Source organism: Homo sapiens, chromosome 2 (assembly GCF_000001405.40).
Source record: "Homo sapiens chromosome 2, GRCh38.p14 Primary Assembly".
NCBI classification, from domain to species: Eukaryota; Metazoa; Chordata; class Mammalia; order Primates; family Hominidae; genus Homo; species Homo sapiens.
In genome coordinates this window covers 73858722-73873656 of record NC_000002.12, presented here as the reverse complement: position 1 = coordinate 73873656, position 14935 = coordinate 73858722, and the positions used below count along the sequence as shown (strand labels likewise).

The window sequence follows — 14935 nt, the reverse complement described above, 5'->3', positions numbered from 1 at the left end:
TTTCTTATTCTGATGATATAGTTTAATTTTCTTGGACAGGGAATGGTTTGTGTTTGTACAGCAGAAGCTATTAGCTAATTATGGACAGAAAGAAAGGCTACAGATCAAAAACCTCTGATGTTAGTTGTTACCTAAGTAAGTATTCCCAAGTTCATAAGTAAGGAGACAACCACACTGTCTGAAGTTCAATTCCCTAAATTTGCTTATACAGAAACTTTTGTGGTTACTGCAAGCTCCTTCTCCACTGTAAAGTGGGAATCCATGTAGTAAGTGGGCCATGGGCTCTGTTCCTCCATCTTGGTGAGCTGTGTTAAAACAAAACAAAAATGAGTTAAAAGTTAAGCGCCTCATATCTTACTCAGCCATCAATAAAGAATGGCAGCTGCACCCCAGGCACTTGCCAAAGATACGATTCTGAGCTCACTGTCACTAAATATTTATTAAAATGTCAGTGCAGAAAACAACCCAGAGTTGTTTAAAATGCATGCAGTCCACCTGAGCTCCCAGATGTGATGAAATCCATCCCTAGGCTAGGTCCAGTTAGCAGACAACCCGGTGTCTCAGCTGGACTATGTTGCCTTCCCCACACTCACCACAGTTCCAGTAGAATTACATTTACCATATCTTGTGCTTTAGTGAGATTCCATCATTTCTATGGGAAAACAGAACCCCTCTACCTGATGTTGGGTTTGTTATGCAAATTATTTATTACATCATACATCCTACGGCCCATCCACGGTAGGAATGTAAGTAATCACGGTTTACGTGTTTTACTTTATTCCTGAATTCACTTTGTTGCATACTTGATTTCTAGATCCTTCCCCCACTTTCAATTTATTTTCTCTTTCTCATATTTTACACATCCTAGGAATCTGTCTGAAATCCTTTCTACGAGGTTTCTAGAGTCCTGTGGGACTTGAATTTAGTAGGCATACAGTAAATATTTGTTGAATAAAAGTGGAAGATACAGAAATTAAAATGAGAACATTCATTTCTCCCTCACTTGGGTTCCCTCAACACTTCGGGATAAAGTTGGTGCTCATGATTCTGCGTACACTCATTGATCATGAATTGCTCTTGCACTGTGAGAGTAGGGCTCCTTTATCTTACTTATCTGCTCCTTGAGGACAGAGAGCGTAACATCTACTTCTTGTGTACTTTGAACAGTGCTCTGCACACAGCAGGTACTCAATATATGCAAATTAAATGAATGACCCACAGCCTGGATGTGCGACCCACCTTTTTGGGAGTGAGAAGGTCACTACCCCATCGTCCAGCTGCTATTATCTAAAGCTAACAGCACTTTTTTCTTCTAGGCATGCATGGTGGACATCTGTTGCCTTTGCCTGCCCAGCATCTACTTCCCCTTCTGCCACCACCATTCTTCTTTGGAAATGAATGCTGCCCCACTCTCAGTGCATGTGGCGTAGATGGGTTATGGGTACATGATCCAGGCCTGGCTAATATTCCATCCTCCTGGTCAGAGTGATTGGTTCAAGGATGAAGTCATGACCAAAGCCATGACCCAATATCTCAATTCCAAATATTGTGTTGAAACTGTTGAACTAAAAAGTTCTTTTTCTTGGCCAGATGAGGTGGCTCACGTCTGTAATCCCAGCACTTTGGGAGGTCTAGGCGGGTGGATCCCTTGAGGTCAGGAGTTTGAGACCAGCTTGGCCAACATGGTGAAACCCCGTCTATACTAAAAAAAAAATACAAAAATTAGCCAGGCATGGTGGTGTGCGCCTGTAATCCCAGCTGCTCAGGAGGCTGAGGCAGAAGAATCACTTGAACCCAGGAGGTAGAGGTTGCGGTGAGCTGAGATCACGCCACTGCACTCCAGCCTGGGTGACACAGCGAGCCTCTGTTTCAAAAAAAAAGTTTTTTTCTTGCTGAGTTTACCAAGGCAATAGGCTATAACCTTCTAGCTGTCAAAGCTACCTCATTGAAAAACCCAATTAAATGAACAAACATTAAGCATAGAAGAGCCTAGAGATGAATAAAAAATTAGCCTTGATGACAATGGACACTGGATCCAGCTGTACCTGAACACCAGTTTTAATTGAGTTTTCTGTCAGTGCAATTAAAAGAATTTTTTTTTTTTTTTTTGAGACGGAGTCTCACTCTGTTGCCCAGGCTGGAGTGTAGTGATGCGATCTCGGCTCACTGCAACCTCTGCCTCCCGGGTTCAAGTGATTCTCCTGTCTCAGCCTCCTGAGTAGCTGGGATTGCAGGCACCCACCACCACGCCTGGCTAATTTTTTTTGGTATTTTTCGTAGAGACGGGGTTTCACTATGTTGGACAGGCTGGTCTTGAACTCCTGATCTCTGGTGATCCACCCACCTCAGCCTCCCAAAGTGCTGGGATTACAAGCATGAGCCACCACGCCCGGCCGCAATTAAAAGAATTTTAACTAACAGGGTTCTATTTTCATTATGTGGTTTCCTCATAGGCCAGCTGAAGTCTCAAAGGCCATAATCATAGGCCCTGTGCTTACAGAACAACACTGTGGCTGAGAACCAAAATATTTGTGTAAACTTATCCTGCATTTACTATGGTTCAATTAAAAATAATTTTAAACTCTTGGCCAAGGCACAGTGGCTCACACCTGTAATCCCAGCGCTTTGGAAGGCTGGGGTGGGAGAATTGCTTGAGGCCAGGAGCTTAAGGCCAGCCTGGACAACAAAGTGAGACTCCCGTCTCTACTAAAAATAATATAAAATAAAATTTAAACCCTCCTACAACATGGGAAAGGTGTATACTAGGCTGTGTGAGAAAAGTTCTAGACACAGGTGTCTAAGTGTGGCAAGCAGGGTGTTAAGAGCTGTTCAACGTGGCACAGGGCCTGGTGCTGCAGGTGGCATGGAAATATTTTGATGGAATTGTGCTTTGATATGATGCCATTCACTTTTTTGAAGGCAAAATGGGGTGAAGAGAGGAGGCTGCTGGGGATAGGGAAGCTAACCATAGGGAATTATGGAGGGATATCTAAGAATAGTGTTACTTCCTTTAGTCTAGGTAATGTTTTCACTTCTGTCACCCACCAATAACCCATTATGATTTGTCCAACACAAGAAACATCCTACATTCTAACGCAAGTCCAGAAAAAAAGACAGAAATAACCCTGGGCCACGGTGGGAGTTCTTCTTTGAAGGAGGCTGAGGTTGGGAAAAGTAATCCTTCTCTAGGAATAGATCATAAAGGAGGCCTGCTAAGCCCAGATGGGTACCCAGGACTTCTTCATGCTGTAAGACCAGCACTTCTCTCTTCTTTAGGTCAGTTCTTTCTCAGCTCTCCACTCACCACGTTTTGTCCAAAGAGCTCTGCTAGTTCTTGCAGCAAGGTTTATGTTGAACGGGTTCCAGTGGTGAGGTCACCCTCATGGAAGGTTTCCATATATGACATGCCTCTGCTGCTACGCCCAAGAGCTTTCCCAAGCCCCTTTCACTGATGCTGTCCAAGAATAGGGTCTGGCTGGATTCCCACATTGAAGGGGCAATGAAGTTTCGGTTTCTGAAAATAGAAGGTATTGTCCTTTTTGTCCAATTATAAAAGCAATACATGTTCTTTGTAGTACATTTGAAGAAATTCGAAAAAGGATATGGGGGAAAAATGAACAGTCATCCCATAATTCTATCACCTACAGATAACTAATATTAATATTTTTAGGTACTTCTTATTCATAGTTTTTCTGAATACATGTATTAATGTATATTTTAGGAAGGCAGCATTACAGTGTGGTTGAGTGTGGGTTTGAAAGTCTGACACTATTCATTTGGAGTTCTGTGGCCTTGGTCAACTTAAACTCTTCTAAGTCTTACTTCCTTCAACAATAAAGTTTGCTGATTCTTAATCTAGTCCTCGGTCAGTATCAAATTACTTTAACTTATAGGTTTATTTTTTATTTTTATTTTTTAAAGTTTTATTATTATTATACTTTAAGTTTTAGGGTACATGTGCACAATGTGCAGGTTTGTTCCATATGTATACATGTGCCATGTTGGTGTGCTGCACCCATTAACTCGTCATTTAGCATAGGTTTATAATAAGCATTATCTGGTAATAAATTTCCCCCAAAATTCTTTTTTTCTTTCAATTTTTAAATGTTATTTCACATATCTCAGATTAATTTTAGAATAATCTTTCAAGTTAAAAAATGATACTTTTTAGCAGACTTGCATTTAAATTTTTGGATTAAAGAAGACGTAGCATCTTTAAAATTAAAACATTGTCTTTCTCTCATAGAATACCGATAGTGTGCCTGTCTTTCCATTTATTTTCTTCATGTTCCTCTGAAAAGCTTACTGGTTTTCTTCATATGAGGCTTGCACATTTCCTGTTAACTTTGTTCCAAAGTATTTTATATTTTTAGTTGCTATGTGCTGAATTAGATTTTTTTTCCCCCAATCACAAATGGCTATTACCTGTACTGAAAAGCTATTTTCAAAGTTTTAAAATGTATCTTTTAGTGAACATCGTTGTGCCTTTCTCTTAATAGGTCTGACCATTTTTCAGAATTTATTATCTTCAGATTTCTAGGTAGATACTTAGCTTGTAGCCCAAACCTGTCTGCTTTCCAGTAGTATACTCTTTATCCTGCTTCACTGCATTGGTTAGATTATCCTTTCAGGACACTGTTCAATAATAGTAGTTAGAATGGATCTATCTTGTCCCTGACAGCAGTGTTTGCTTATTAAGTATGACGCTGGGTGTTATATATTAGAAGATTTATTTTATCATGTTAACGAAGCTTCTTGCTTTCTTTTTTTTTCTTTTTTTGAGTCAAGGCCTCTCTCACCCTCGTCCAGGCTGGAGTGCAGTGGCGCTATCACAGCTCACTATAGCCTTGACCTCCCTGGGCTCAGGTGATCCTCCCACCTCAGCTTACTGGGTAGCTAGGACCACAGGCATGCACCAATGCCTGGCTAGTTTTTTGTAGAGACAGGGTTTCACTATGTTGCCCAGGCTGGTCTCGAATCCCTGGGCTTAAGTGATCCGCCCACCTCAGCCTCCCAAAGCGCTGGGATCACAGATGTATGCCACTGTGCCTGGCCCTTTCTTTCCTTACTAGGGGAGTTTAAAAAATAAAAAATAAATGTTGATTTTCATCTTAAAAAAATTTTTTTTTATGAGAGACTCTTGTTTCTGCTTGTTTCCTTTGACCTACTCCTGTGATATATTATATCAGTGGATTTCTTTTAATGAGGTCACCATTACATTCTAGGGACAAAAATCACCAAACGCCTCAGGGCTCTCAGAGTCAGGTAGACCTGGGCTGCCATCCGACTCATCACTTTCTAGCAGTGGAATCATGGGCAAGTCCTACATGAGGATGCATAATACATGCTGGCAGTTAGGATACTTTATTCCTTTACTAGATTGATGATTTTTTTAGTGTTCTATTTAGAATTTTTGCATCTATATTATTGATTTTGATGTGAAGTGTGTGTGTGTGTACACAATTTATGAGATTGTGCTCATAAAAATGACTTATGTCATTTACTTAATTTCTGGGTTTTTTTTTTTTTTTTGAGACAGAGTTTTGCTCTTGTTGCCCAGGCTGGAGCGCAATGGCGTGATCTCGGCTCACCACAACCTCCGCCTCCTGAGCTCAAACGATTCTCCTGCCTCAGCCTCCCAAGTAGCTGGGATTACAGGCGTGTGCCACCACAGCCGGCTAATTTTGTATTTTTAGTAAAGATGGGGTTTCTCCATGTTTGTCACGCTGGTCTTGAACTCCTGACCTCAGGTGATCCACCCGCCTCGGCCTCCTAAAGTGCTGGGATTACAGGCGTAAGCCACCGCACCTGGCCAATTTCTGCTTTAGTACTTATTTCTTTCCCCCTGGTTTCCTAGTATATTTTATTATTCTTTTTCTAATTTGAGTCCGATGCTTAATTCATATCTTTTGATTCTTTCTTCTTAAATAATGAAAGCATTTAGAGTTCTAAATTTCCTTCTCTGTATAATTTGTAGAAATTACAGAAATTTTAATTTGTGATATTGTATTATCGTTCATCTCTAAATAAAAGATGAATGATTATATATGTAGTTTTTCTCATTTGCCTTTCTTCTAGAGGTAACCTTCTATTATTGTTATTTATTTATTTTTTTAGACGGAGTTTCGCTCGTTGCCCAGGCTGGAGTGCAATGGCGTGATCTTGGCTCACCACAACCTCCACTTCCCAGGTTCAAGCGATTCTCATGCCTTAGCCTCCCAAGTAGCTGGGATTACAGGCATGTGCCACCACATCTGGCTAATTTTGTATTTTTAGTAGAGACAGGGTTTCTCCATGTTGATCAGGCTGGTCTCAAACTCCTGACCTCAGGTGATCCACCCGCCTTGGCCTCCTGCTGGGATGACAGGCATGAGCCACCATGCCCGGCTGATTGTTAATTTTTAATTTTCACAATCTTTAAACATCAATATTTAAAATGTGCTCACATTTGTTGCACTTCTCCCAAAAAAGCAAAGCCTTACCATTTATTAATTGGATGATTTTGGACAAGTCTGTGCATTTATTCATATCTTATTCCATGTCAGGGGACTCAGTACAAAGGTGAAAAAGACAAAGTTGCTGTTCTCAAGGAGTATACTTTAGACACATAAGCTAGCAATAAACAAACAGGATGATTTTAGCTCATGACAGGGCTACACAGACAGTAACAGTGATGAGATAGAGTGATGGGGAAGAGGTGCTTAAAATGGGGTTGTCAGGAAAGGCCTCTGCTAACCACCAGATCTCATGGGCTCATCTTGAGATTTAACCCAGCAAACCTCTTCTGAGCCAGTTGGCACCACTGATCTCCCTCCCCTCCTTTAAACTGTTGCCTTCCTTGATTTCTGTGACAAGATACTGGTGTCACTATCTCCTTGTCTCCTCCTACTTCCAGCTCCCTCTTTCAGCCTTCTATGCAGGCACATCTTCTTTTGACCACCCATTAAATTCGCTGTTGGCCAGGACAACCATCCCTCCTGGCGGCTGGAAAGAAAGCTCAAGTGCAGCACAGGCCCAGCATATGATGCTGAGTCAAATTCAGATGGCTTCCTACAAGGTGACATAGAGCTTCTCCAGGCTAGGACACAGGTCCACCTGGCTACCTAACACATTATTCAACACCAAGGAACAACTGATCAATAAGGTTAAGTGCCTATACTGACTGCAAGGCATGTTACACAGTGCATAAAGCAAACATGATTCTTACCCTAATGAAATTTATACGATAGTTCAGAAACATGACTTACATAAAAGACAATATGAAAACGCTGCAAAACAACAAAAAACACACACAACAAATTGTGGGAAACAGACTATAGTTGCCACTGGAGTTCAAGGAAGGAAGCCCTCAGAGTGAACCTACCAGTGAGGGAAGGCACTAAAGGAACTGGAAGGACAGAGCCCATGGTTATGTAGCGTCACAGTGCTGGATTCTGGATCTAACAGGCTGATTGAATGATGCCGGACACACCTGTAAGTTAAGGCCCAGCTTCTAATCTCAAACAGGCTAAGGTGAACTAAAAATTGAACCCTGGATTAAGGGGTGAAGACTTCAGTGAAGAGGGCCAATGTTCTGCCCTTCCTTCATCTCAAGAAGTAGTTGGAACAACAAAAGTGGGAGGTTCAAACAAGAGTGGGCTGGAGCCAAGGGAAAATAGAGATGATGTAATTTCTTTAGGTCCTGGGTCTGCTCTGGGTCTTAGGGAGAATGAGTAGAAATTTGGAATGGTTCTTGAGGTCCTCAGTTTTCCTGCTCAGAACATCAAGGTAGACCAGATAGCTTTGGAGTCAAAGCCTAGCTAGTGCTAAAGAATGTGGATCTGCCCAAAGATTCCTCTAGCTGTATGCTGAATGGGCAGAGGTCCAGAAGATAGAAGCAACCGCACCCCAACTGTAACATTTCAAGAAAGACAAGTAACAAATCCCTTATATCTTTATAGCATCTTTCAACTAACGTAGGCCTCATATGCATATAGATGTCATTCTGTCATCATTTGAGGTAGGCATATTAGACTGATCCCATTTTACAGATTTTAAAGAAATTTAGGAAGTTAAGTGATTTGCTGGTGAATGTATAGCTGGGCCTAGAAGCAAAGCCTTAAATGTTCAACCTGGCACTTCCCCTGGAGAGGATAATATTCCAATAGTCCTGATCTAAACAGGATTTCCAGTGCCCCAAGCAAAGCTCCTCAGAAAAAGACATGATCCTTGACTCAGAAGTTCTACTCTGGGCTCACATGTTTGAAAGATCCTTGGACAAACTGGTCTCCAAACTCAGGTGGGGTTAAAACACTGAGATATGAGGGATGGGAGGCACAATATCAATAGCTGACTCTATTTTCTAGGGAACAACATCTACTCTGGTCCTAAAACTGTGTTCTCAAAATCCACTGGAAACATATCAAAATTGCAGGATTCACCAGACTTTCACTCATTAAAGCTTTGCTCCTAATAGCCTCCATTCTTCTCAACCCCAATATGAAAAATTTCTCTTTCAACTGGGGTAACTAAAACCCCAAAGAAGCCATCAACAGTCAAAAGGGATAGGCACTTACAATTTTAAATTCTGTGGTACCAAATGAAAGCTGAAATCCTTGCCTCTCAAGCAAGAAAATCCACCATGACACTGGCCCAAGGGAATGTTTCTCTCATGCTGCCTTTTATGGTATCTGGTACCCAAGACAATATTACAAAAGCTTAAGGGTTTCTTCTTCTTCCCCTTTGGTCCCATTTAACAAGGAGTATGTGAAAGTGATCATCTGAAAAAACCCAGCTCTGCTCTGACCCCAAGCAAATCAGCTCCTCTGATTCTCTCTGCACCTGGCCTATGGCACTTTGGTAGGTTTGTGCCTCCCAGGGCAACTGGGACATTGTTTGGCAACCTGACGATGCTTTTGTCTCCCCTCTCAGCCCAGAACACTAAGTATGGTACTTGTGCAGCTTGCAAGAGTGGAAAAGTCTCCTGGTCTTTGAGCCTCGGGAACCCAGGAGTCAGTCCCTTTAGCCAAATAGTCATTACCCTTTCAATACAATGTCTTTCCTCAGGTTGCGTGGTCTTTGTCCCTTTTACCCACAGTATTCCTTTCCTCTTTTCCCGACCGCTCTGGCTACTCCTCTTTCTCTCCGGCCTATCCAGTCTCAGGGCTTGTGGGCTGGCTTGATTCCACGTCTCCTCCACAGAGGTAAGATGAAGACAGAGACACTTAGACCATCCTATGCAGAGTGCCTCTGCAGTGGCTAGGCTGCAGCAGATATGAAGAGGGATCTACAGACTGATTTCCTGCACCCATCTAGCCACTAAGATATCTTGTGCCTAGAGGAAGAGAAAAGAAAATATAGCAGTTTGGTGATCAGTCTGTGATCAATGTGGTTGCAACGTATGATATGTTGTTGACCTGGCTGAATGTCTTTGGTGGGCAGAGACGGATAAGAGAGCTCACAATTCTTAGGTATCAAAGACCAATGCAGTGGTTGTCAACCCTGGTTGTACTTGAGAATTCTAGCAGCTTGAAAGACAAATGCAGAAACAACATCTGAGGCTCCACCCTAGAGATTCAGCTTTAATTGGTGGGGGGTAGAACACAGGCATCAGTATTTTTTAAATTGCTCCCTAGATATTTGAATATATAGCCAGGGGTAAGAACTTTAAGTGGAAAGTTCTGACTAAAAGCTAAATTTAGATTTTCAGCAATGGGAAGCTATTGCAGGTTTTTGAGCAAGAGAGAAAACATGAACATGGCTGGAATGTGAGAAGCTTCTCCTGATCAAAGTGTGCAGAACAGACTGGAATGAAGAAATGCTAAAAACAAAGAGACTTGGTAAAAGCCAACGGCTACAGTCGAAATAAAAGGTAAGAAAGCCCTAAGCTAAGTGGTAGACAAAGAATGGGAAGAAGGGGATGGATTTCCCAAAAGCAGAGGACTGGGCAATTTCAGGACTGTTTAGAGCAAGGTGGAACAGCCAGGCTGCTCTGGGCTGCAGCAGGAAATGGCTTGTCCAAGCCCAGCTGGCCCCCAGACCCACCCATACCAAAACAGCAAAGAAGGAATTTCCACTATATGGGGAATTAAGAACCCAAGAGAAGAAAAAGAATATAGAGAACTGGGCTCTTTCAGGGGACAAGTTCAAGGACCACTAACCTAAGCAATAAAGACTGAGACAAAATTTAAAAATGAAGAAAACTTTATGCATTCACAGATTCTCCCTCCCCCACCTAGAATTCTGATAAAGAATAAATCACTCTTCTCCTAGCCAAAGTATTTACTCTCCTGCCCTCACTCGAGGTGTCACAAATGACACCATTATTTCTAGGCCACCTAGAACACCAGGCTCAGCTCACAGAAAATTGCAGTAACAATTGCTGCTTCAAGCGTTTTCCTAGGTATTGCCTTAGTCAGAAAAGAACAGCCAACACAATGAAATTGGTAGGGTGGGGTGGCTGGGAAATGTAATCATTTATTGGAGTGTAACCTGGTACTCCAAACAAAGGCTTCATTATCCTCAGCCAAAAGCATGGAGGGCATAAGGAGGAAGTGAATGGTTGACCCATTTGAGACAGCACCAAAAGAACAGAGATGACTTCACAACACCTCTGGAAGATGGCAACAGGCAGATAAAAAACAAGGAGTAATTAAAAGTGAACTGGGACACACCATCAGTGTCAGTATATCTCAAATTCCATTTTTCCTTCACCTTTCCAAAACAACCATACCTTTTTTTTAACCTGTTTATACAATGCTTGATCAAATGGATCACTCTGAAGCACAAAAACATAAGTTAATTGTTACTTTATTGTAGAGGAAAAATATCCTGAAATATTTATTAAATAACAATAATTCCTGACAAAATCATTCTTCGGGATGTGTTAGCCAAACAATCTGGTCAAATGGAGTAAGCTGTCCCTCACCCCAGTAATAAGCTCCATTCATATTGCCATAAACCACAGGAAAATCCAAAAGATTTTCTAAATGGCTTCCAAATTTCTGCACAGATGCCCTTATTGAGCCCAGAGGTAAATATAAACAAATTGAAATTAGAGAGAAATTAGAAGGATAGCTGAGAGGAAAAAAATGTTAACAATTGGTGAATCCAGAAGGAAGGGTATATGGGGGTTCATTATACCATTCTTTCTTAATTTCTGAGCTACTTAATTTCTGAGTAACTTAATTTCTGAGTTACAGTTGCTTTTGGGTGACCATGTTCTCTTTCTGACTTGCCTAAAAAATATGTTCAGTTATTTCTTTTCAAACCTGAAATACAAAATCAGCTCTTTCTCAGGTGATGCCCCCCTTTCTACTATCTACAAAAACTTCCAAAGCTTTCTAGAAAGCTTAAATTAAGGGGCTACAGTACACTGATATGGTTTTGTTGTTCTTGGAAGGTGTTGGACTCAAACGCTCATCGAAGGTCTGTGATGGTCACTGCTCTGTCCACAACAGTCACGTGGCTGCAGCTCTGCAATAGGAAAAAAGAAAGGTGGAGTCCTAGAAAATTCTGAAAAGTCTTTTTTTTTTTTTTCTTCATATAGGGTCTTGCTCTGTTGCCCAGGCTGGAGTGCAGTGGCACGATCTCGGCTCACTGCAACCCCCGCCTCCTGGGTTCAAGCGATTCTTCTGCCTTAGCTTTCCCAGTAGCTGGGATTACAGGCACGAGCCACCATGCCTGGCTAATTTTGTGTTTTTAGTAGAGGTGGGGTTTCGCCATGTTGGTCAGCCTGGACTTGAACTCCTGACCTCAAGTAATCTGCCTGCCTCAGTCTCCCAAAGTATTGGGATTATAGGCGTGAGCCACCGTGCCCGGCCTGAAAAGTCATTTTAAAAAACCACTTTTTGGCTGGGTGCGGTGGCTCACGCTTGTAATCCCAGCACTTTGGGAGGCCAAGGTGGGCAGATCATGAGGTTAGGAGATCAAGACCATCCTGGCCAACATGGTGAAACCCTGACCCTACTAAAAAAAAAAAAAAAAAAAAAATTTAACCCGGTGTGGCGGCGCGCACCTGTAGTCCCAGCTACTCGAGAGGCTGAGGCAGCAGAATTGTTTGAACCTGGGGGGCAGAGGCTGCAGTGAGCTGAGATCATACCACTGCACTCCAGCCCGGCAACAGAGCGAGACTCTGTTTCAAACAAAAACAAAAACAAAAACAAAAACAAAAAAACCCTTATTTAAAATGTTCATTCTAGGCTAGTGGTTCTCAGTCTGGAAGCCAGACTGCTATTTAAGTGGTAGTTGTGGTAAGAGTCTGGGACTCATTACTACCACCAGTCCCACCTGTAGATGGAATCAGTGTTTGCCCATTTACCTTTGTTTATTTTTAAAATGTATATACATTCTAGACTCATTCTTTGATTCCTAAACTTGGGAACAAATAGTGTCATCCCTAAAATATATATTAATTTAAAAGAATTACTGAATTCATCACAGTTTTTTTAGCTATGATGTCACCCAAATAATAAAGTATACCTACTGTCACATGGTGAGAGAAGAATGCTCCCTTTTGGCATGCAACAGGGGCCTTTATAACTGAAAACATGGGCACTGGTGCCCCAGACCTTTTTTTCTGATTGTGTAGTCTTTGTTTCAACATCCTAGTACTTAGACATTCCAAGGCAGACTGATCTATTTTTGAACAGATTTGTCAGAAAGTTCTTCCTCACGCTCAGCAGAAAACCATCATTCCATGAAGTCTTTGTTTTAGTGCTAGGAGTGACGTGAAATATACCCAATCCCTTTTTTTATACTTCAACTCTTCTAACACTTGAAATCAGCTCTCAGATCCTTCCTGGGGTTTCTCTTCTAAGCATCTCCAGGTCCTTTTAAGTGTCAAGGTTCTTAGTCCCTTTTCCATATTGCTCACTTTTCTCTGAACCCAAAAGAAATAATACTCCATGGCCAGCATGGAGTAATGCAACACCATCAAATCAGCTTGCAGGGGCAAATGGAAACATACTGATCTTATCATCAACTAAACTTTTTATTCACAGACCACAACATAGGGAAAAAAGAACTTTGTAGGAAGGTCGTAAAGCCCCTATGATTTAAGCAAAATTCTACAAATATACTTAATTTACCTATCTGAAGTGGCTTCTCTTTTCCTTTGCCTTCAAATCTCTTATTGAAGTACAGGCTTAGAAAGAGACATTGATGAAAGGAAAAAGTAACATTTAATAAGCCAGCAACTGCATTACGTACTTCCTGCACATTACTTCATTTAATCATCTCAAGAACCCTATAAAGTAGGTGTTATTATTATGCCTATTTTATAGATGGGAAAACTGAGGCCCAGGAACGGTAAGTAGCCCAATCAAAGGCACACAGTGGCAAAGCTAAGATTCAAATCTATTCCTGTCCCACACTGCTTCTCATGTACGTCCTTATTATGGAGATCTGGCAAGGTAAGTGACAAAGCTGGTCTTCTGTGTGGATCAGAAAGGATGATGCATTTCATCAGCTCTGACTGTCCTCCCTGCTTGAAGCATAGCCCCATTTTCTTTTACATAGATACGTACACAGAACAGAGGTGGATCCTTGCTGTGTGGATGAAATCCTTTCTGGCGACAGGAAGAAATCTCCTCTAGTCCATGGTCAGTTAGTTTAAAGAATCCAGTTCTGAAATTTAAAAAAGGCAGGCTAAGAGTCAAGCAAAGGTGTCCCTCCATCCCAAACATATGCACGCACACACACACCAGCATGCACACTCACACAGCAGGGCAGAGGTCATTGTGAGACAGCTTCTGTAGGATGCTGCCTCACAGGTCTCTTCTCTGGTGAATGAATCACAGTTAGAGAATGACTCATTACTGCCATCACACTAGTTTTGCTGGAGAATTCATAGTAAATAATCAAAGTGGGAGTAGAGACAGGATTTGGTATGAAAAAGAAGTGCATTCTGAGATAATGTGTTTGATTTTGAAACTTTCTTATTTTTTATTTTTATTTTTTTATTATATTTTTTTATTTTTTATTTTTTATTTTTTTATATTTTATGATTTTGAAACTTTCTAATCCAACATAAAACTCTTGACATTCCTATCGCTTCAAGTCAAACACTTCAAATTTCTTGTAGACTTTTCTTAGAAAAGCAACTAAGTTGTTACTTGGATATCTTTTTGAACAAGCATGATAGATAAATCATGATATGGGGCTTAAAAGGAAGCCCTTTAGAATAACCAACTTACATTATAATCTATGTATTTTACAAAGGACAAGTCCACAAGAATAGAGACCTTTTCCCCTGAGGCTTTCTTCCCTACTACCCCCTTGAAACACCCAGAACCATGCCCTCTATACTCACTCCTGGAACTTGGGGGAGCAAACAATGGCTACTGACTCTGGCAACATCATCTGGTAAGAGCAGTGAGTGTGTAGGTCGACACTGGAGAGAAACGCGGTCTGTGTGGGGTGAGTCTGAGGAGAGAAAAAGAGTCAGAGGACTCTTAGCGAGGATATATGGTAATCCCTCCTTATTTGCGATTCCCTTTCTGAGGTTTAAAGCTATCCATATCAACTGCAATCTGAAAATATTACATACGATAACATACTTTGAGAAAGAGAGATCATCTTCACATAACTTTTATTACACTGTATTTTTATAACTGTTCTGTTTTATTATAGTTGTTGTTAATCTCTTCCTGTGCCTAATTTATAAATTAAACTTTATCGCAAGTATGCATGTATAGGAAAAAAACATAGCATATATAGGGTTTGGTACTATCTGTGATTTCAGGCATCCATTGGGGGGTCTGGGCTCATATCCCCTGAGGATAAGGGGGGGACTACTCTGACATACAACCAAGTCTGGTCTCTGAAGGAAGTAAAGCCAAACAGTTCTCAACAGCTGGTCACAATCTCCTTTGTAAGTGAGAAGCCATCTGCAACCATGAGAGGTCCACCTGAGGTTCCTAATAAGTAAGGAAGCTCCTTTCCAGCACTGTAAACA

General features: G+C 41.3%; 1 protein-coding gene across 25 annotated transcripts in view; it reads right to left on the bottom strand.

Annotated features, from left to right (window-relative positions):
• STAMBP (STAM binding protein) overlaps window positions 1–14935 on the bottom strand; it is a 44696-nt gene continuing 29761 nt past the window's right edge. For 10 of the 25 annotated variants that reach the window (NM_001353974.2, NM_213622.4, NM_001353975.2 and 7 more), the window contains 3 exons: window positions 14291–14403; window positions 13506–13605; window positions 6489–11454 (listed from right to left, as the gene is read on the bottom strand). In NM_001353974.2, coding sequence (NP_001340903.1) covers window positions 11398–11454; window positions 13506–13605; window positions 14291–14403 — 270 coding nt within the window. In that variant the 3' untranslated portion in view covers window positions 6489–11397. Of the gene's footprint in view, window positions 306–1239; window positions 1703–3304; window positions 3515–6482; window positions 11455–13067; window positions 13124–13505; window positions 13606–14290; window positions 14404–14935 lie in introns of those variants that run through there. The other 15 variants (XM_047442961.1, XM_047442963.1, XM_047442962.1 and 12 more) reach the window with 7 other exon arrangements.